The 24,288-nt window shown below is 36.1% G+C and overlaps 1 protein-coding gene across 5 annotated transcripts in view, besides 1 other annotated feature; it reads right to left on the minus strand.

The window, feature by feature from the left end:
- The window catches only part of MAP4K3 (mitogen-activated protein kinase kinase kinase kinase 3), a 188,020-nt gene that overhangs the window by 56,104 nt on the left and 107,628 nt on the right, over positions 1–24,288 (minus strand). For 3 of the 5 annotated variants that reach the window (XM_047446092.1, NM_003618.4, XM_047446091.1), the window contains 7 exons: positions 20,777–20,908; positions 20,530–20,592; positions 20,361–20,442; positions 20,149–20,259; positions 9,941–10,019; positions 4,092–4,150; positions 2,574–2,636 (listed from right to left, as the gene is read on the minus strand). In XM_047446092.1, coding sequence (XP_047302048.1) covers positions 2,574–2,636; positions 4,092–4,150; positions 9,941–10,019; positions 20,149–20,259; positions 20,361–20,442; positions 20,530–20,592; positions 20,777–20,908 — 589 coding nt within the window. The remainder of the gene's footprint in view (positions 1–2,573; positions 2,637–4,091; positions 4,151–9,940; positions 10,020–20,148; positions 20,260–20,360; positions 20,443–20,529; positions 20,593–20,776; positions 20,909–24,288) is intronic. The other 2 variants (NM_001410753.1, NM_001270425.2) reach the window with 1 other exon arrangement.
- Positions 15,207–16,126: an enhancer, noted in NCBI's record as "NANOG-H3K27ac hESC enhancer chr2:39547717-39548636 (GRCh37/hg19 assembly coordinates)". NCBI's record gives its function as "activates a minimal SCP1, AML or CMV promoter by ChIP-STARR-seq in naive H9 embryonic stem cells {active_cell/tissue: H9 hESC(naive)}" and the evidence as "EXISTENCE:reporter gene assay evidence [ECO:0000049][PMID:30033119]".

Below are 24,288 nucleotides of genomic sequence, written 5' to 3' on the forward strand. Positions count from 1 at the left end.
CCTGAGCTAGGCTGCTTAGGAATCCCAGCTCTGCTATTCTTAGCTAAAGACTAACGAATTTCAGCTTCTTTGCACTTTAAATCACCTCATTTGTAAAACAAGAATAATAAGTTAATATATTTAAAGTGCTTAGAATAATGCCTGGTATATAAAAACCTCTAGATAAATGTTAGCTTTTGTTACCATTGGGAGTGAGCTTTAAGGTTGATTTTATAAGTTGTATACTCTGACAAATATTTCATTCATCCCTCTTCTGCCCGAACTAACCTAATAGTCCCTAAATCCCTCCATTGTCACAAGACCCCTGTCAAATGCTCCCCTGTACCACAGGAAACTCCTGATTATAGGGCAGGGAGCAGGGATGAAGGTGGGAGCAGTTACAGGGAACAAAGCCACAATATGGTAACTTATTCAAGTTACTAGGCTAGTTCCACATGTGGCACAGAAAAGAGTATTTGTAATTTTTTTTTTTTTTTTTAAAGATGGAGTCTCGCTCTGTTGCCAGGCTGGAGTGCAATGGCACAATCTTGGCTCACTGCAACCTCCGCCTCCCAGGTTCAAGGATTCTCCTGCCTCAGCCTCCTGAGTAGCTGGAACTACAGGCACATGCCACCATGCCTAGCTAATTTTTTGTATTTTTAGTAGAGACAGGGTTTCACCATGTTGGCCAGGATGGTCTCGATCTCCTGACCTCATGATCTGCCCGCCTTGGCCTCCCAAACTGCTGGGATTACAGGCATGAGCCACCGTGCCCGGCTGAGTATTTGTAATTTTAAAGTATTATGTTTCCAGTTTTGTTGTTATCTTTTCTACATGGAGGATATTAATAAATACTAGAGTCAATTTAAAAATTTGATTGTGTTGTCTTTATTTCTGCAATAAATTTCACTAATTGTCATTCTAGCCTACGTGTGTAATTCTGAAAACATTTTCAATCCAGCAAGCACCGACTGTGTTTTCTTCAGACATTCTATCTCACTTGGCCCCTATGGGTTAATTCCCAATCCTCACACATTCTGTCTCTTTATGCCATTGAACACATTCCCTCTTTATTTTGAGACAGTGCATTTACTGGCTCTCCTAGCTTTTCAACTGCTTCTTCCCTACTTCCAATGTTGGTTCTACCTGAATGTTAAACATAGGCATCATCCACTGAGGTAACCAGTTTTTTGCACTGTTTCTTCAGATTTAACAATGGGGAACACATGCAATTTCATGGCTTCATCTATCACTTCCTCTTTGATAATTTAAATCTACTTTTTTTTAAAGGAATCCGAGATTAGTATGATAATTTCAAAATCTCAGCTCTCTGCCTGACATCTCTCAAACCTGTGGTCTGTGCTGGCAACTGTTTCCAATTGCTGTGAAACAGAGCCAGCATCTGGTCCCTTTTCTTCCTGAAGAATCTACAATGTTCCTACACAATACTGACATTAGTCTTAGTCCCTCCCAGAAGCCAGATAAGCCACATGGGCCCCAGAGCTCTTCTCCTTCTCTCATCTCTACAGTACCTATTGTATGTTAGCTTCCCTCATCAACACTTGCCACCTGGCAAAATGTTGGCAAGCCATTATGTATTTTGTTGCATGGGTAAGAGTTTGTATGTGTAAGTATATTCTGTCCAATAGGACAGCAACCTCCCTAAAGAAGGGAAATTATGTCTAAAATCTCTTTTATATTTTACAAATGTCAGAGGTCCTAGATTAAAAAATTTATATAAAGAATCATTTAAGCCAATCAAAATTGAAAGATGTATGTTACTAAGGTAAAGAGGAAGGAAAGATAAGGAAAATTCCATTTAAAAGTCAGAAAAGTAGAATCTGGGAGTAAATATGGGGGTAACTTGGGGCTCTCGCCAACCACAGTAGCAGAAAGAACTATTTACTTAATAACAACTATTAAAAGTATTATTTATTTAACATTTAATAGCATCAATTTCTCATTTTTTCTTATGTAATGGTAAGACAGTATTTATAACTTCAGGAATGCTTTATAATCTAAATTTTGTCCTAAGGAAACCAGACATGATAGTAATGCTGAAAAATTAAAACTTCATCTGAGAATGATTTCATTGTTAATGTAGGAATAAATTATCTTTAAAAATTATATATGTACCATATATTATCTGAATAATATATGTACCATGATATATGAATATTATATATGTAATGCATATGAATATATGTACCATATAACATATGAATTGTTTATATATATACATGTGGATGGGTGGTTTCTAGTTCATTAAAACAAGTTACATCATTAAACTGGACATTTTTACAGGGAAATGCCATTTCTTAAAAAAAAAACCCTAATATATGAATGAGAAAATTAAATATTAACATTTTTCATAAAAAATACAAGCATGTTTATTACTACAGCATTATATTTGAGTAGATATATATATGTAACTTGTTATGGGAAAAAACTGCTACAATTCTTAATATATAGAAGTTTGCTAAATGATAGCAACTTATAAAACAATGCTTTAATTGGACAAAATGTTTGATCTTAAAAGAAAACAATTAAGACTAAAACAATGCTGACAAAGAAAATCAGAAGATGAGAAATACCAGATTAGATCTTGCAGTGTAGTATATTTCTTCTGAACTGTCCAAAAAACCATCACTGTCGGGCTGTTTAGCAGAGACCAAGAAACCCAAGTTATTTACGCTTAGACTAAAAGCCACAAATTCACAAAGGGAAACTTTCACAAATGAAGTAAGTCCTGCTAATATAATTTTATTAAGGCAAATGGAGAGTCAAACTGTATTAGGCAGCTTCTAAAAAAGCAACATTGCAACAACTTTGCTCTAAAATGCAGTTACTAAATTAGTACAGAATTTAAATACAGGCAATGCCAACTTACAAAGGGAAACAAAAAATAAACTCAAACTGCCTTAACAAAACACAATTAGCATTTATAAATATCATGACTACTTTTTCTTAATTTTCTCCACCCCTCTTCATAAATGTCAGGCTTTGGTATTACAATATGATCATTTTAAGACTTTTTCTTTAACATCCTATTCCTCCACACTGGTACACTGAATTAGAGTAACTATAAGGTAAAGGCTAATGACACCCTTTGTATGCTTCAGTCAAGTGAGTTAAAATAAGCATTAAACTGAAGAAGAAAGCTCCTACTTCAATCCTTAGTACTTATTAACAGTTATTTTCTTCTCATTATTAAATAGCAAATAAAAAAATGAAACAGACATCATATGGAACTCTGGCAAAATAATTTCTTTAGAATTTTGTATTTTCCAATGTCTCATTTTTTTATTGTTCTATAGAATATTAACATCTCAAATAGATGCAAAGTATTTTGCTTTTATGACTGAATCTAATATATTATCATTTATCTGGAAAGGAGTATATAAAACAACAACAAAAGAATCATGCAAAGTATATTCATAAAGTTATAGCAAGCCTTAAATGAATGACAAACTTCATTTACTATGTATGCCTCATCTCCCTAATTTTCAATACTCTATACAGATATGACTCTACTCTAATGTTTGGAAACCATGGCATTTATCATAAAAATAACACATTTTAAAAAGCCCCTCAAAAAGAGAAAAAATAAAAAATAAAAAAAATTTAAAAGTCAGCATTAAAAACATTTAATCACAGAATGGTAAAACAATTAAGTTTCTCTTAAAATAATTTTGAAAATATTCAGCAACACAGATTTATTTATTATGAATTTGAGAATTACTTACCTTTTTGTTTCCCACGATTTTAAAAAAAATTTTATTTTATGTTTTTAAAGACAAGGTCTCACACTTTCACCCAGGCTACAGTACAGTAGTGCTATCATAGCTCACTGCAACCTTGAATTCCTGGGCTCAAGGGATCCTCCTGCCGTAGCCACCCCAGTAGCTAGGACTACAAGTACACACTGCCACGTCAACTAAGTTTTAACATTTTTTTGTAGAGACAGGGTCTTACTATGTTGACCAGGCTGGGACCTCGAATGTTTTTGAAAATATTAATGACTAGCTTTTTTGGTCAGTACTAATACATCACACAAAAACAAATTAAAACATTTATTTTCAGTGCTAACATTCTAAGGCTATACTACTTACAAGTTCATGATGTGGTTCTGTCTCCTTTCTTAAGGGTGGATCAAATTTCACTTGGCCAACTAAAAAAGAAAAAAAAGTAAAACCAGGATTTTTTTTTTTTTTTTTTTTTTTTTTTGAGGCAGAGTCTTGCTCTGTCTCCCACGCTGGAGTGCAGTGGCGCAATCTCAGCTCACTGCAATCTCCACCCCCTGGGTTCCCACCATTTCCCTGCCTCAGCCTCCCGAGTAGCTGGGACTACAGGCGCCCTCCACCACGCCCGGCTGATTTTTTTGTATTTTTAGTAGAGACGGGGTTTCACCATGTTAGCCAGGATGGTCTCGATCCCCTGACCTCGTGATCCACCCGCCTCGGCCTCCCAAAGTGCTGAGATTACAGGAGTGAGCCACTGCGCCCGGCCAAAACCAGGATGTTTTTATATTCTTAATGATATAATAATTTAAAAAGTTATTCCATGGTGAAAGACATTTAATGCTACCATCAACCACACACTGATCTCCAAAGATCTTTGTTTTCAATTTTTAAAACTGACACTAATAATTGTAAATATTCATGGTGGTATATGCGATATTTTGATACACGTGTACAATGTGTAATGAACAAAACAGGGTAATTAGGATATCTATCACATCAAACATTTACCATTTCTTTGTGTTGGGAACATTCCAAATCTTCTATTTTGAAATATACAATAAATGATTGTTAATTTCCCTACTCTGCTACTGAACACTAGAATGTATTCCTTCTATTTAACTTTATTTTTGTACCTATGAAACAACCTCATTTCATCCACCTATCTCTTACCCTTTCCTGCCTCTGGTAACCATCATTCTACTCTACCTCCATGAGATCAACTTTTTTAGCTACCACATATGAATGAGGACATGAGACATTTGTCTTTCCATGCCTAGTCACTTAACATTAATGTCCTCCAGTTCCATCCATGTTGTTGCAAATGACAGGATTTCATTTTTTTTATGACTGAATAATATTCTGTTGTGTATATATACTACATTTCTTTTATTTATTCACCCATTGATACACATATAGGTTGATTCTTTATCCTGGGTATTGTGATAATGCTGCAATAAACTTGGGAGTGTAGATATCTCTTAGATATACTGGTATCCTTTCTTTTGGATGCATAATCCAGTAGTTCTGAATCATATGGTAGTTCTATTTTTAGTTCTTGAGGAACCTCCATACTGTTTACCATAGTGGCTGTACTAATTTACATTTCCATCAATAGTATGTAAGAATTCCCTTTTCTCTGCATTTTCACCAGCATGTGTTATTTTTTGGCTTTTTAACAACAGCCATTTAAACTAGGGTGAAATGATATCTCATTGGGGTTTTTCTTTTTTGATTTGCATTTTCTTTACAATTAGTGATGCTGAACTAATTGTAATATTACAATTAGTGATATTTTCATGTATCTGATGGCCATTTGTATGTCAGCTGGAAAAAGCCCAATAAAGTCTTAACCGCTAAAGCTTAATTTGTTAATTCTAGGCCATTTCCACAGTAAGAAAAGAAGATGATTAACAAAATTATATGTGTGTACAATCAAGTTCTAACTTGCTACTTTGTTGTGACCAAGAATAAAACAGAGACAATCTTTTTTTGGTTTTGTTTTTTGAGACGGAGTCTCTTTCCGTTGCCCAGGCTGGAGTGTAATGGCGCGATCTCAGCTCACTGCAACCTCCACCTCCTGGGTTCAAGCGGTTCTCGTGCCTCGACCTCCTGAGTAGCTGGGCCTACAGGTGCGCGCCACTATACCTAGCTAAGTTTTTGTATTTTTAGTAGAGATGGGCTTTCACCATGTTGGCCAGGCTGGTCTGGAACTCCTGACCTCAGGTGATCCGCCCGCCTCGGCCTCCTAAAGTGCTGGGATTACAGGCGTGAGCCACTGTGCCTGGCTGAGACCATCTTAATTCAGTATTTAGGTGGGTAGACAGCTGCTGATACAGGGTACTTGTGGAAGCCAGCCTGTAAGATGGCCCCCAGTGACTCCTGCCTCTTGGTATTCAAAATGCTTCCACATTGGATCAGCGTTGGCTGATGTGACCAAAAGACCAGAGCAGAAGTTAACTGTATATGAGTTCCAAGATAAAGCTTCTGTCTTGGGCTCTCTCTGTTGGATCACTTGCTCTGGAGGAAGTCACATTGTGAGCAGCCCTAAAGAGAGGCCTCCTGGCAAGGAAGTGAAGCCTCTGGCCAATAGTTACGTGAATGAGCTTGGAAGTAAATCTTCCAGTCCAGTCAAACATTCAGATGACTCCAGCCCTAGCTGATATCCTGTGTGCAACTTTATGAGACCTTGAGCCAGAATCACTCAGCTAACCTGTCCTGGATTCCTGACTCTCAAAATCTGTTAGAGACAATAAATGTTTATTGTTTAATATGAGCAGATATACAGAAAGTGAGAGAATTCAATACCTTCAGACTTAAAGAAATACTAAAAGGAATTATTTAATCAAAAGAGATCCATAAGTAGTGGTACAGAAATACAGTATTGAATGAAGAGCAAAAAATTGGTAAATATACAAATACAAATTAATATTGACCATGGTTAATGACAATAATATTGTCTTATAAGATTTAAAATAAAAATATGGGAGTTGATTTAAAAAATGTTTACTGTTTTAAGCTGCTAAATTTTGGGTTTGCTACACAACCAAAAACAACCACTGCAGCTAAAGTATAAACTAGCCAGAGTAGACACAGATTAACTGTACTACATTCATCTTTTCTTTTTCTTTGCTTTCTAATGTATTGAATGTTTCAGTATCTTTACCTTTTATTTCCACAGCTCATTATCATTTTCTGATCTTATAACCTGGGTAAAACCCTCAAGTCCACTGAGATACAAGCAGAGGAAAAAATACAAAACAATAAAAAGAAAACAGCCACAATATATTACATTTCAACTAGTAAGAGCTTCAGCCAAAACCAAAACTTCTCAACCAAGCTGAGGAAAACAGTGAGATTTCAAAGCATAATCACTTTTCTAACGGTTTGATTTCAACTTTGTATGTAAATTTATTGTGAATGTTAATACCAATGAAAGAAGACCATGGGATTTGAATATTTAGCAATAGGAGGCATAAGGAAAAAAACAGTTGAGAAACACAGCCCTGTAATATCTCCAGTTATGTCTGGGTGTGTATATGCTTTTAAGCTGTTAATGGCTCAGATATCAAATGGCCCTTAGATCTGATAAGTAGGTTAAGAATGAGTCCATCCTAACTGTTCACAATTGATCACACATCAAAGATTACAAAATAACTTTTAGTAAGGTATCAAAACTAACATATACCTCATCTTGATAAAGGCCTATTGAACAGCTTTCACCTATACTTGTCTTCAAATTCCAAAATGCGGTCTGTAATAAAATTACATGAGGACAGTCTTGTGCATCTATCTGCCTTGTGTTATTGCCACCTGTGAACATGCCCATTTCTCCCACCAGATTGTACAACCCCTGAGTGCAAGGATGCTGTCTTACTAAAAGCCGTGACTATAGCAGGTATTCAGTATCACTGTACCTGAACTCTGTGGATGGAGAATGCATTTCCAGAAAGGGAGCAAAGTCCCTATGGAGATTCAAACCTTACACTGGTATCACTCTTCTGCTCTCTTCAAATTCCCTAAAGTTATGACAAGCCTCTGCCACAGAATCTTCCAGTTACTCTTCAAATAACTGTTGGTCAATCATCCCAGTCTGCGGCACTGTTTATGATGCTCTTTTTTATTTTTACTTTTTGAACTTTTATTTTAGGTTCAGGGTACATATGCAGGTTTGTTGTATAGGTAAACTTGCATCGCGGGGGTTTATTGTACAGATTATTTCGTCACCCAGGTACTAAGCCTAGTACCCAATAGTTACTTTTTCTGATCTTCTCCCTCCTCCTAACTCTTCACCCTCAAGCAGGCCCCAGTGTCTGTTGTTTCCCTTTGTGTCCATGAATTCTCATATGATGTTCTTCTTTCTTTCCTTCTTTCTTTCCTTCCTTCCTTTCTTTTTCTTTTCTTTTCTTTCTTCTTTCTCTCTCTCTTCTCTCTCTCTCTTTCTTTCAATTGAGACACTGTCGCCAAGGCTGCAGTGCAGTAGCAGGATCTCAGCTCACTGCAGCCCTCTGCCTCCCAGGTTTCAGCGAGTTTCCTGCCTCAGCCTCCCCAGTAGCTGGGACTACAGGCACACACCAACAGGCCCGGCTAATTTTTGTATTTTTAGCAGACACAGGATTTCACTATGTTGGTCAGGCTGGTCTCCAGCTCCTGACCTCAAGTGATCCACCCGCCTCGGCCTCCCAAAAGTACTGGGATTATAGGTGTGAGTCACTGTGCCCAGCCTAGACATCTAGTTTGAAATAGCATACACATGCATATGCACTTAGAAGTTGAGAATCACTGATATGTTACCACAGAGTGATTCAGAAATACTATGCTATAAAGGGACTGACAATGTAATTTTTTAATAAAATGAGATAACAAGAAAGAGAGTACTTTAAATTACATTTTCAACAGTACTGAATATATAAAGTTTTCTAAATTAACTGCAAGTCACCTCTAATTACTTTTTTTTTTCCAAACAGAATCTTGTTCTTTGCCCAGGCTGGAGTGCAGTGGCAGGATTTCAACTCACTGCAAACTCGGCCTCCCAGGCTCAAGCAATTCTCATACCTCAGCCACCCAAGTAGCTGGGGTTACAGGTGCACATCAACATGCCTGGCTAATTTTGGTAGCTTATGTAGAGACGGAGTTTCGCCATGTTGGCCATGCTTGTCTTGAACTCCTGGCCTCAAGTGATCCGCCCGCCTCGGCCTCCCAAAGTGCTGGGATTACAAGCATGAGCCACTGTACCTGGCCTCTAATTACTTTTTGTATATTAAAGAAATGATAAAGATATTTCATAATTATTTTTTGTATATTAAAATATGAGAAATGCTCTCACATGCTAAGGATGCCATTTTCGGAAAAATAGTTTTGTGGTGAAATTAGCAAATTTAAAACGTGACTTCAGCAGGAGCTTTAAAGATAATTTTATATGATCACACAACTAACTGCTGGCAAGCAAAGTACCAAATCCCACTCCTGAGCTTTTTATATAACCCACCATACTTTCCAGGTATCACTAGAACAAAACTCAGAGAATAAATGCTTCTAAGGAATAAAAAAGTTAAGGCACTATTGTTCGAGGGATTCTTGTTGGCAGTTTATCACTGATGAGTTGACAGTATTGGATCCCATGTGAATGAATGGCTTGTCTTAGTGGGCCCATAACTTGGCTGCCCCTAAGAAATAACTGGAGGCCTATTTTAAAAGGTTTCTGGGCCAATCCAAGACCTACTGAATTGGACTCTATGGAAAAGTGGTGCCTGAGAATCCCTTTTTAAAAGTTTCCAGGTTACTCAGATGCTAGGGCAGTTTGCAGACCTCTATTTCTCTGTTACCCTTGGATCATGAGTGCATGAATGACGTGGGAGCTTGTTAGTAGAACCTCAGATCCCATCCCAGGTCTACTGAATCTGAAACTGCATTTAACAAGCTCTCTAGGTGAGTTACATGCACACAGGCATTTACGGCACTGCCTTAATTACTTCTACCCTGCTTATTCCAGGAATTAACTTATCCTCCCAAACAGTAACAACATAAATACATCCCATCCTGCCACCAAAAATTCCACAAGAATAAGGAAAATGAAATTCTTACTGCCCTAATTAAACTTTACCTTTAACAGTGTTTAGTAAGAAAAACTATTCAGAAGGAAATAAAACAAAAATAACTGTAACTAAATTATAACTTATTTTCTATCATTAAATCATAAACTGTGTATAGTATATACTTACAGGTTATCTCTGAGCGTGTTTTTTCTTCTCTCACGTTTCTACTTGTTGAGTGAATTCTATGTGGTACAGCAACAAGAGGCTAGAAAAGAACAAAATCAATGATATGCAGCATTTGATAATCAAGTCATAGTTTGGTCCACAAAATTACCCAAATAGGAAAAAATACTTCATTTTAAGTAAAAATGAAAGCAAAACAGCACTTTGCAAATTTTTTTTTTTTAAAAAAGCAAACCACAATAGCAGCTCAAACTATTAGGTGAAAAAATATTTTTATTATCCACAACATAAATTATTATTTGTACTAGAAAGGGCACTTCTTTGGCTAAATACATATGAAATTAAACACAATTAGTAACATATTCTTATTTGTATGTGCAACATCAGACTTGTCTAGATCCATTCTACAAGGATGAATCAAGTACACTTGAGTATCCTGGATCTATTCTGACATCGAGAAATTCTGAAGGGAAAGGAAATACAACAGTGTAAACATTACCACTTGCATCTATCATTTAATGATGGTTGAGCTTAGAAGCCTTTTAAGGTTTATTTTTCAATTTATGAATTTTTTTGAAATAATTTTTAAAAACTACACACAGACATTTATAGATGATGTAGGATATTAGTTTGTGTTTCACTTTTGGCACTATCTGAATTGTAATCGATTTAACTAAGACTGGAAAAATTATATAACTTATGCTTATGTGAACATACAGTATTTTATGTTTTTCAGAAGCTTTATTTTTTTTAATTAAAAAAATGCTCTCCACTCCATCTCAGTTTCTCTTGGTTATAGATGTGCCATTATAATTTCCATGAGTAGGAAACATACCAATATTTAATTATTTGCCTTTAATTTGCAAAGAAGATTCACACCTTGAAATTATTTACAGAGTCTAACTAATTAAATGTGATCACAAAGGAATACTGGAAAACTTATACTCTGAATGTCCAATATAAGATTTGTCAAGGGCTCCAACATAAGAAAAAGAAAAAGCTGAAAAAATATGATTTAGAGAAACCCTGTGAAAACTGAACCTCTAGCTTGTCAGGAACAAAACTGATAACTAACTCAAGAAGTCAAATGATTACAAGAAAGGCTATCCAGGTATACAGAGGCCATATTTCACCCTTTAGAACAGAGGTGAACTGGAGACTTGACTGATTATCTTCCCTTCAGATGTACCAATTCAGATGGTTGGATATGAAAACGGTATTTTTTCATATTTTTTCAAAAATTTCTTTTGAAAATGAAATATTTCATGTAAAAAAGGAGAAAGGGATTGCCACAAGATTTTGTTAAATGAGGCCAGGGAATGAAAGATGCCCAACCTGAAATTAAAGTAGGCAACAGAATGTTAGGCATCATCTTCTGAAATGCTAAATAATTTGTTTTGTTTCTAACAATGAAAGATTACACTTAACATCTCTAAAACGGTATTACATTTACTAGAATTTCGAATAAGCAGAATTGATTCTAAAATAGCTCATCTGAACTTAAAAAGTTGCCCTTCTAAGAAAAAGGATATCCTTTAGAATCATTTAATTAGACAAAGGCCATGTAGATACATTCTCAAAAATTAAAATTTATAGAAAACTCTATTATAAAATTCACGTGGAATCAAAAAAGAGTCCAAATAGCCAAAGCAATCTGAAGCAAAAAGAACAACACTACAGGCATCACATTACCTGATTTCAAACTATACTACAAGGCTACAGAACCAAGAGAGAATGGTACTGGTATAAAAATAGACATATAGACCAATGGAACAGAACAGAGAGCCTAGAAATAAAGCCATACATCTACAACCATCTGATCTTCGACAAACCTGACAAAAAGAAGCAATGGGGAGAGAACGCCCCATTCAATAAATGGTGCTAGGATAACTGGTTAGCCATATACAGAAGATTGAAACTGGACCCCTTCCTTACACAATATACAAAAATCAACTCAAGATGGATTACAGACTTAAATGTAAAATCTAAAACTATAAAGACCCTTGAAGAAAACCTAGGAAATACCATTCCAGACATAGACATAAGCAAAGATTTCATGATGAAGATGCCAAAAGCAATTGCCACAAAACCAAAAATTGACAAATGGGATCTAATTAAACTAAACAGGTTCGGCACAGCAAAAGAAACTATCAACAGAGTAAACAGACAACCCACAGAATAGGAGAAAATTTTTGCCAACTATGCATTTGACCGAGATCTAATATCCTGAATCTGTAAGAATCTTAAATTAACAAGCAAAAAACAACTCTATTAAAAAGTGGGCAAAGGACATGACAGATACTTTTCAAAAGAAGACATATACACAGCCATCAAAAATATGAAAAAATGCTTGAACATCACTAATCATTGGAGAAACACAAATCAAAACCATAATGAGATACCATCTCATACCAGCCAGAATGGTTATTATTGAAAAGTCAAAAAATAACAGATTATGGCAAGGCAGCAGGGAAAAGGGAACGGTTACACACTGCTGGTGGGAATGTAAATTAGTTCAGCTACTGTGGAAAGCAGTCTGGGGATTTCTCAAAGAACTTAGAACAACCATTCAACCAAGCAATGCCATTACTGAGTATATACCCAAAGGAATATAAGTTGTTCTACCATAAAAACATGCACGTTATGTTCATCGCAGTACTACTCACAATAGCAAAACACAATAGCAAAGATACTGAATCAAACTAAATGCCCAACAACAGTAGACTGAATAAAGAAAATGTGGTACGGATATGCAGCCATAAAAAAGAACGAGATAGTGTCCTCTGCAGCAACAAGGATGGAGCTGGAGGCCATTATCCTAAGTAAACTAACTCAGGAGCAGAAAACCAAATTCCACATGTTCTCACTGATAAGTGGGAGCTAAACACTGAGTACACATGGATACAAAGAAGGGAACAATAGACATAGGGGCCAACTTGAGGTTGGGAGGAGGGTGAGGATAAAAAACTACCTATTGGGTACTAGGCTTATGACCTGGGTGACAAAAGAATATGTACATGAATCCCCCGTGACATACCATTTATCTACAGAACCAACCTGCACATGTACCCTGAAACTAAAATAAAAGTTAAGAGAAAAAGAAACGTAATGAATTATTTTTTCAAGATCACTAATAAAAATGGTAAGATTTTTAAAAATTAAAATGTAGCCTTTAATTTCTAAACATAAATACTCTCATTTTTCCTCTATAAATGTAATACACACTAACCATAGACACCTGCGATAACGGGCTTATAGTAACTAATATATGATATTTAGAGAAGCACTGATGAAAATAATCTTTCTAATAAATGGCATTTAAAGAAACAAGCCATTCACAATGATGCATGGTGTCTATTTTTTTTAAACAATGCTTTACATGCAACGTGATTACAATTATTTTTATTACTTCTTGATAAAAAACAAAACCCTGCCCTTACAAACCATTTCACGTTTATTCAACTTTTATCATCTTAAAGTTCTATGATTATTGTTATCATCAAATAATATAAATACAAATAACAGGCCCTTTGCAATGGGAGCTAGATGAGAATGTCAAGTTTGTACGGGAAGGAAAGACATAGACAGTATGATAAATCCTAGTTGACATAAGCCAGTGGTTTTTGACCGGGGCAATTTTGTCCCTGAGGAGACATTTGGCAATATCTGGGGACATTTTTTTGTTGTCACAACTTGGGATTAAAGGGTGTTAACTGGCAACTAATGGGAAGAGTCCAGCAATGCTGCTAAACATTCTAGAATGCACAGGGCAGCCCTCCCAAAACAAAGGATTATCTGGCCCAAAATGTCAACAGTGCTCAGATTGAGAACTCCTACAAGCAAATGCCAATACTTTCTGAATGCTGTCAAATTTACTTTTAGGTCTTCTCATCTTTTTCAAGTATATACACTCAATTACATACTTTTTTTTTTTTTAAACCACAACTACAAAGAACCTCCTTACCCCAATTTTCTCCCTAAAAATTGCTAGGAATTTTAGGAAATACGGAAACTAAAACCTTATTGTTTCTTCATTCCACGTACAGTTTATCCTTGAACAAAAGTTTGAACTGCAGAAGTCCACTTCTATGCAGATTACTTGGGGATACAAAACCCATGTATACGGAGGACCAACATTTCATATATGTGGGTTTTGCAGGGCTGACTGTGGGATTTGGGTATGCACGGAGTTTGGTATACTTGAGAGTCCTGGAACCAATCCCCCTTGTGTACGTCAAGGGACAACTATATTTTCAGTGTTTTTAAAGAAAGGTAACTGTTAATGATAGTAAAATCTCAAGTAATATTTATTTTGTCAAACATCTCTTAAAATTCAAAATCAAGAGTCTAAATATTTCTACTATATAAATGTCATATGGTGAGCTATTATTTAATGTAAGAAGAATCCACTAATCTGCTATGCAGTAGATAAGAACCTAGACAAATGAAATTACAAAGATTCACATACCTGATGTGCTCTTAATCCATATGTAACCCTCTCTTGATTGCATTCATTTTTACATGAATCTTAAGGCTAAAGACCATATTTTACCATTTCTAAAATTTATGAAAGCTAGTGTATTCAAACATTTAGATATGGGGGATGGCTATCATTTTTTAAGAGTCTTGATGAGTTTTTAAAAGTCCCCAATTCTTTGACCATTATTTTTATTTTTTAAACTTTGGTCTTTCTGGCATCTTCCTATTGGCAAACTCCTTTCTAGCAATGTCACTTCCTTTGTGACATCTTCTCTGACTTCCCTAACAAAAGTTGGCTGTTTTTTCTTCTCCTGAAATGGTGAACTTCTCAAGATTAGGAAATAATGTTTTAGCTACAGCAGGTCCCCAGTGAATGTTCATCGAGTTAAATATAAATAAATAGTCAAAAATTAAGTATTTCAATAATTCAATAGCTGTTTACACGTTGCAAGTAGCTTTCCCTATTGCAGAGAAGACTGCAATTTAAAAAATCTGCGTCAACTCCTTATATCAAAAGGATAAGACATAAATGCAATGAAATAATGCTAAAGGCATTAACCCATTTATACCTGAGGTTGCAAATTTTTTGTGTGAAAAATCAAACCTTGACGATGGCCTTGAGCAGTAGGATATAAATAACTCCCACAAGCCTAGTTCCAATAATGGAACACTAGGCTAAATGGGTTAATGATTTATGGTACTTTTTCTTGGTCAACACAATTTTTTTTTTTTGGCCCTTTATGTTTTTTTCTTGGAGGAGCAGTCCTCTATTTTCTTTCCTTTTACTTTATTAAAACCATTCTATGTGCACTGCCAACTTCATACAGGAATATTCTGAAGGTGGGTAGAATGGAGATGAGTTCTATTTAATGTTAATTCATGAACATTACTATAACCTTTGGAAGTAAAAGAGGTCTTATTCAAAAAACTTTTGCAGCTCCATACTCACACTAAGGTCTCTCAACCAGCATCTATTTCATGTAATTATTGCAATACCCAATAGCTTCCTCTGTGGGTGAAATGCTACCTTTGAAGCTATTGTATTACCTTTGAAGGAGATACACTCTTAGATCTATCTTTGTGGAAACATAATTCATAAACATTATGCTCTAAGTCTTAGATTCAATAAGGCAAATCAAGAACAAGACTCAAACTAACTACTCACAGTGTAGGTACATCTCAGGGAAAAAATATACAAATTTAAAAGACTGAAATATTAAATACTTGTGATGGTGAAACAGTAGCAAAAGTAATTTTGAAAATTAGGTATTTAAATTTTACATGTGCAACCTGCTTTTTAGTTTACAAAGTGTTTTGATGCACCTTAGCATTATATCCTTAAACTCGTGAAACAAGCATTATTCTTCATTTCTGTGGGGAAAAGAAAGAGAGATCAGATTGTTACTGTGTCTGTGTAGAAAGAAGTAGACATAGGAGACTCCATTTTGTTCTATACTAAAAAATTCTTCTGCCTTGACATTCTGTTAATCTATGATCTTATTACCCCCCAACCCCGTGCTCTCTGAAACATGTGCTGTGTCAAACTCAGGGTTAAATGGATTAAGGGTTGTGCAAGATGTGCTTTGTTAAACAGATGCTTGAAGGCAGCATGCTCCTTAAGAGTCATCACCACTCCCTAATCTCAAGTACCCAGGGACACAAACACTACGGAAGGCCGCAGGGACCTCCGCCTAGGAAAGCCAGGTATTGTCCAAGGTTTCTCCCCATGTGATAGTCTGAAATATGGCCTCGTGGGAAGGGGAAGACCTGACCGTCCCCCAGCCCGACACCCATAAAGGGTCTGTAATGAGGAGGATTAGTATAAGAGGAAGGCATGCCTCTTGCAGTTGAGACAAGAGGAAGGCATCTGTCTCCTGCCCGTCCCTGGGCAATGGAATGTCTCAGTATAAAACCCGATTGTACATTCCATCTACTGAGATAGGGAAAAACCGCCTTAGGGCTGGAGGTGGGACATGCGGGCAACAATACTGGTTTGTAAAGCATTGAGATGTTTATGTGTATGCATATCTAAAAGCACAGCACTTGATTCTTTTACCTTGTCTATGATGCAAAGACCACTGTTCACGTGTTTGTCTGCTGACCCTCTCCCCACTATTGTCTTGTGACCCTGACACATCCCCCTCTCGGGGAAACACCCACAAATGATCAATAAATACTAAGGGAACTCAGAGGCTGGCGGGATCCTCCATATGTTGAACGCTGGTCCCCTGGGTCCCCTTATTTCTTTCTCTATACTTTGTCTCTGTGTCTTTCTTTTCCAAGTCTCTCCTTCCACCTAACGAGAAACACCCACAGGTGTGGAGGGGCAACCCACCCCTTCAATTTCATAGATGAGGATACTGAGACTTAAAATTAAGTGGCAGGGCATTCAGCTAGCTAGCCATAGAGCTAGGAAAAACCCTAGACTTTTGATCTAATATACAGTAGCAAAACCAAACAAAAACAGGTAACATGCAGGTTACTCATACAGACTGTTATTAATGAACATGGATGAAACTCATGATTATTTCTGAGAACAGTTTTACCTTCCCGGCTTAAACAGCACAATAAATTATTAATTTATTAGCATAACAGATTAATAAAATTGTTAAATCTTATAATGCTGTACATAGTAAGTGGGCTTACATATAGGAGACGAAAACTGAATAAAAATCAGAATTAGAATTACACCAGTGTGTAATTACTTCTAAAATAGAAACTACAGGGGAACTCAACATTAAAAAGTCAAACTTTCTTCCACAGTGCATAACCTATAAAAAACTTAAACTAGACTTAGATGTGGTATATGTGTGTGTGTGTGTGTGTGTGTGTATATATGTATATATAGATAAATACACATATATATATATTTTTCTTTTTCTATTTTTTGTTTTTTTTTTTTGAGATGGAGTCTCGCTCTGTTGCCCAGGCTGGAGTGCAGTCGCATGATCTTGGCTCACTATAACCTCTGCCTCCCAGGTTCAAGCAATTCTCTTGCCACAGCCCCCTGAATAGCTGGGATTACACGCATGAGCCACCATGCCCGGCTAATTTTTGTATTTTTAGTAGAGACGGGGTTTCACCATGTTAGCCAAGCTGGTCCCAAACTCCTGACCTCAGGTGATCCACCTGCCTCGGTCTTCCAGAGTGCTGGGATTACAGGCATAAGCCACTGAGCCCACCCTTATTTTTAAGAGTATGCATACAATAGTTCTAGTATCACAGTAAGTGCTGAAATTCTTAGATACATTCGTATTTTGAGTGACAACACTGCACTTAGCAATTACAATTACAAATCATTTGCAAATAAAAAAGTTATGAATTTCTCTTAAGAAAAACATTATTCTAAGCTACTGTGAGAGGGAATGTAACAGCTTCCCCTCATCCTACCCCTGGAATAATTAAATTCCTTTATTTTACCTACTTACCATAGAGATTTGTAACAATTTATAATTATAATACCAAAACAATGTCTGGATAAGAAAGATGAGTTTCTTTCCCTGCTATATGAGAAAGTTTTAGAAGAATCTTCATTCCACAGATTGCTTCTCTATTTGGTTTATTATTTCTGTTCTTTGAGTACATTTTTAAAAAGACATGACAAGTACATAGGGTGAGGTAAGAAACAATCATGTAGCATTTAGTGCACTGAAAAGGATATAGGCAGTCCTTGTTTTACAGCTTTGTTATGCACCAATTTCAGTTACCATAATTTAGTTAAATAACACTAGTTCCCTACATCATGGTTCAAATAACAGTTACCACTGTATATTAATTGAAATTGCATAAAGTATAAACTTTATTGGTAGCCTTTCAGTTCACAAATTACTACGTAAATAACAGATGCACATCATGATCATGATTAGAAAGAAAATTAGAAAGCAATATGACAATTTGCCAAGGCATAGAAAAGATACTTGCTCTGTGTCACAGACACATGATGAAAAGGCAAACTACTCAATAAGCAGACTACTAGATAAGTAAAAAAAGTGCATGAAAAGTTCATTAACAAAGAAATGAAACACATTAACTCTCGATGATTCTAATATTTATAATACACTGTAAATAATAGTTTTACTATTTTTTCACATTTCTACAATTACAACTGACAGTAACAGAGTTTATGCTTTAACAAAAAATTTTAAAAGTCATGAAACAATTATAATTTTTCCTGATTATTAAGATTACTTTGCAGAATTTTAGCTTATGCAGTCATTTTTACAGTCCCATACTACCATGCACATCAAGGACTGCCTGTATACTAAATAAGACTAGAAGAGTTTGTAAAACTTAACTTTCTTAAAAATAAAATTAAGCAAATCAACACCAAAAAACTTCTTCAGGCCAGGTGCGGTGGCTCATGCCTGTAATCCCAGCATTTGGGAGGCCGAGGCAGGCAGATCACAAGGTCAGGAGTTCGAGACCAACCTGGCCAATGTGGTAAAACCCCATCTCTACTAAAAATACAAAAATTAGCTGGGCATGGTGGTGGGCTCCTGTAATCCCAGCTACTCAGGAGGCTGAGGCAGGAGAATCGTTTGAACCCAGGAGGCAGAGGCTGCAGTGAGCTGAGAGCATGCCATTGCACTCCAGCCTGGGTAATAGAGTAAGACTCATCTCAAAAAAAAACAAAAACAAAACAAAAAAAACTTCTTCAGAGTATAATTATAAGATTAATTATACTTTACATTCCTTACATTTTTAAGCTCCAAACTCTTTTCCAGACCCTTAAACAAAAGGACAAATAGCTTATCTATCATAAGATGGCAAGCTGGGACAATGCTGAATTGATAGAAAGGTTCTCTCTGACTTAAGACAATCTGTGGCCGTCTTTCTAAACACTTCACCTTCAGTCATTAATGAAATTTACAATATTTTTAAGGGCCTCCCATAAAGCCAGTAGAGTTAAAGCCTATCCACTTCTGTTACAGACCCAATAACAGAATTCTGCCATGTCACATATACTGAATTTATCTTGGTTGCCACAACTATTAGCAGTGCTAGGAATGTTACATATGCAAACAGAAGTGAAGCTTCCATTAATATCAATGCTTCTGTCATATTAGAATTATTTTATTAACAACTATACTGGCTCATTTTAAAACATTTCCATAGTGAATAGCTGAGTTTTAGTCACTGGCAAAGTCAAGCCTATACTTCCTACTAACCTCTAATAATTTATGAAGTATTATATAAGAATTTTTTTTTAAAGATAGAAACGGGGTCTTGCTATGTTGACCAGGCAGGTTTCAAACTCCTGGCCTCAAGTAATCCTCTTGCTTCAGCCTCCCAAAGTGATGGGATTACAGACATGAGCCACCAGGCCAAACTGAGGATTCTTTTTGAGAAGCAAACTGAGGGGAAATTTTGAATATTCAAATGTCTTGTTTAGGCACTTCCCATTTGCTTTCCCTTTTACAGTGAATGATTATTTGGCAACTTCACCAAAAATGGCTATTTTGAAATAACTACAGTGATTTCAACAAGTGGATTAAATGATATGCCTTTGCCATTTTCACACTATAGTCACCTATAAGTAGTCAGTAAGAAAAACCTAGCATTTGACTTTCCATGAAAGGCAAAGACAAAGAATTAATTGTTCCCTCAAGAGCTTTTTTATTTAAACTAGGCCCCAAAATTAAAAAAATGGATTTTGAGACGTACATACAGACACACATATATACATACACATATACATGTTATATATGCCCGCTGGTAAAAGCAATTCCTACCTCAGGATCATCATCATCGAAATCATGGTAAGTGGAATGATCTGGATTATTTACTTTATCCAACAGCTCGATTGCCAAAGACCGTGTCAAATGTTGTGTTACAAAAGGATGCTATAAAAATTAAATACAATGCAGAACACTTACTATAAATCTGATTGAATAACATTTTATCTTTTGAAATATATATATATATTTCAGGGCAAAAATAATACCTGTAATAATTTTTCAGCAGTAGGTCTTTTTTTCGGATTTTTGGTAAGTGCCATTTTCACAAAGTGATGAAAACTATTTGACCTAAGAAATTTAGAAAATTAGACTTTTACATTCCAATTCATTTTTTGCTCATCTCACCATAAAAGTAAATAACATAAAAATACTTACCATTTCATTTTATCCTTTAGTTTAGGAGGCTGAAAATTGCTTTTTGTCATTAGAAATAATGCTCTGAAAAATCAACAAATCATTACACAGCATTTTAATATTTCACATTTTTATCTATTACACAAATTCTATTACTATTTGTTCCCCAAATAAGGTAAAACAAGACTAAGAAAATTACTTGTTCATGACAGCATACTAAGAGGATAAAAACCTTAAGCGTAAGATTCTTCAATGATGATGCACTGACCTCATTGGGTGTAAGTCAAACATAGGAGGCTGAAGCTCTGCAAGTTCTATGGCAGTGATTCCCACTGCCCAGAGATCACAGAGTTGATTGTAACCCCCCTTCCTCTCAACAGCTGCAACTTCTGGAGCCATCCTGAAATAAATATTCCAGAAAATAAAAAACTTCTGTTATATGTTTTCCTTTATACTCCCACCCAGAGGCACAAGGAATTATCACTATCTAAATTAAGGCCTCTTTAGGCCTTGGTTTTTGAAAAATAAATATGCAGTACTTAAAAGGTCCACCTTTTCCAAGATCTTGACATCTCATAAGACCCTCATTAGTAACTTGCTTTTGATTATACAGGCTTATAGGTGGAAGGGACTTGCCTTGCCTTGCCTCAGACGAGACTTTGGATTTGGACTTCTGGGTTAATGCTGGAATGAGTTAAGACTTTGGGGGACTGTTGGGAAGGCATGACTGGTTTTGAAATGTAAAAAGGACCTGCAATTTGGGGGGTGGGCAGGGGCAGAATGATATGGTTTGGCTCTGTGTCCCCACCCAAATCTCATCTCGAACTGTAATCCCCATGTGTTGAGGGAGGGGCCTCGTAGGAGGTGATTGGATCATTGGGTCAGTTTCCCCTATGCTTTTCTCATGATAGTGAGCAGGTTCTCACAAGGTCTGATGGTTTTAAAAGTGGCCGTTTCCCGAGTGCTCTCTCCTGCCACCTTGTGAAGAAGGTGCCCGCTTTTTTGCCTTACTCCATGATTGTAAGTTTTCTGAGGCCTCCCCAGCCATGCAATACAATACTGTGAGTCAATCAAACCTTTGTTTATAAATTTTAAAAAAGACTCTGCACTTCAGTCCCCTATTGCTGATTCCATTGTTACTTCCTTATACTAGTTACTAAAAAGGTTTATAAAAATATACAATTCTAATAGACCAACACGTCCAAAATCATTCATGCTCCCAATCTCTCTGTACATGCAAAATTCAATAAATAATATTCGTAATAAGCAACCTATAGCTCTACTTCCTGTTATCAAAAAACTGCGACCAGGCAATCCCTGTTTTTACTTCACCAAAACTATTCCGTCGGGCACCAATAATCTTCATATTTAGTATTTAATTCATATTTACTAAAAACTTATTTGGCATTTTTTCTAGTTCTATTATAATAATGGAAAAGTTATAAAAACAAGTGTCTACTTTTAAAAAATGTATTTATTCAGAGGAAAGTTACCCAAATTCAGTAATTTTTTTGTTTCTCTTTACTTTGCTACAGTCTTATTCTAATTATACTTCCATAAATTTGAATTTGACTGATTTAAACTATTAATTATCAAATACAAAAATTTTCAAATCCTAAACAATATTTTTAAAAGCAACTAATTGAAATAAACATCTCAACTCTTCCATACTAAAGAGCAGTCTAGATAATCTTACAAATACACATTTATCTTCCTGGTATGATTTCAGGAAGGTCAAGTAAGTCAGTAAAGTCAAAAACAAAAAACCCTCTAACTTTCAAAACCCCTGGTCTTAAAATCTTTTAAATCTGAAACAGATCTTATGAAAATTTAAATTACTATAAGAAAAGCGAATTTCAAAGTGTCAGTTATTACTTTTATGATGACTAGATTCCAAGTAGCTGGTAGAAATGCCCTAGTGGAGTGGGAAATGCATGCAAGTGATACGCTCCTAACTTGCCTCCCCTTACTAGTTCACCACATTAGCTGATGCTCTCCCTTCTTCTATGTAAATACAAGGGAAACATTACACTTAGTACATGTCTACTCCAGCCAGCTAAGTTGTGTGCTTATCACAGTCAACTGGGTTCATCTCTGAAACTGTTTATTCCAGTTACATTTGCTATTGTAAACACATAGTTATAATGAAGGTTTAAAAGTTAGCGAATGCTGGCCGGGAGCAGTGGCTCACGCCTGTAATCCTAGCACTTTGGGAGGCCGAGGCAGGTGGATGGTTTGAGCTCAGGAGTTTGAGACCAGCCTGGGCAACATGGCAAAACCCCGTCTCTACCAAAAATGCAAAAATTAGCTGGGCATGGTGGCGCATGCCTGTGGTTCTAGTTACTTGGGAGGCTGAGGTGGGACGATCGCTTGAGCCTGGGAAGTAGAGGTTGCAGTGAGCTGAGATCACACGACTGCACTTCAGCCTGGGTGACAGAGTGAGACCCCATCTCAAAAACCAAAAACAAAAACAAACAAAAATTAGTGAATGCTTTAGAAAGACTTCGCTTTTAGAAAGGCAAATTTCTAAAGATGAGCCAAAAAACCTGGTACGTTAGATAAGAACATGACAATGGCAGAAAACTGGGAAGGCTACAGATTATATGATTCCATTTCTATGCCACTCAAGAAAAAGGCACAAATATAGAGACAGAAATCAGATCAGGGGTTACCAGATGCTACGGATGGAGGTAGAGCATTTACTAAAAAGGGGCAAAATAAAAGATTTTTTGGATAGTGTCAATGTGTTCTGGTGGTTTCTTACCACCACAGCATACAAGTTTTTCAACATTCATACAACTGTATGAATTTGCACAACTGTACACCTAATAAGGGTAAATTTATGCCTCAATAAACCTGACTAAGAAATGTAGTTGATGCATTGGGGTGTGTGTGGTTTGCATTACTAAAATGGAACTCTAGTAAGTGATCTACTCTAAGAAAAGGCCTTGATTCTATATCAAAAGACTGTTGAATAAATGTACATATATGTCTTAAATTGAAATAAAATGTTTAAGGTACATATGTGTTTAATTTTGAGAACTGTCATTTCAAGCAGACTTTTTCGAACAACTGAATAACTGCCGATCTAATCACTTGGGAAGAGAGAGGTTCTAAAGTTTTAGATTTTAGGTAGGAAAGATATAATACCAGAAAGACAGATACAGGGAGAGTGTTCCCAAAATTAACTTTACCTAATTCACAATTTCACATGTTCCCAAGATATTTCCCACATTATTCCAAGAGTAATGACATAAATTTTTAACCTGTGAAACTGGAGTTGGAAATTTCATCATTAACATTCAGTGAATGAATATTGTATAGAATCAAGTCAGATCCTGAAGATTTAATGAGATGTTTACAATAAAACTGAGAAGACAGTGTACTTAAAAATGACAGCAATTCAAGCCCTCACTCTGCTCAACCCAAAACAATAAAGAGAAGAACAAAGAGAAATATATACACATACCATCTTTGAAAAGTCCAGCAGACATATTTTAACTAAAACCATAACACACAGACTAAAAACAGAAGAATAGTAAATGATGTAGCAAACAGGAGGCAGGGCAAACCTAAGCAGGTGCCAAGGAAAAGAACAACAACTAGCAGCCAATGAGCCTCAAATACCCTGGAAATGTTGACAAGCTAGGTTTAAAAAGTAGCAATAGTAGGGTTGAGGTTGGGCTGGAAACAGGAGTATTAGAAAGTGTCAACAGTCAGTCCCTGGCATTCCTACTCTTATCCATTAAGCCCCAGCAACTATTGCCCCCCAATTCCCAC

This window comes from Homo sapiens, chromosome 2 (assembly GCF_000001405.40).
Source record: "Homo sapiens chromosome 2, GRCh38.p14 Primary Assembly".
NCBI classification, from domain to species: Eukaryota; Metazoa; Chordata; class Mammalia; order Primates; family Hominidae; genus Homo; species Homo sapiens.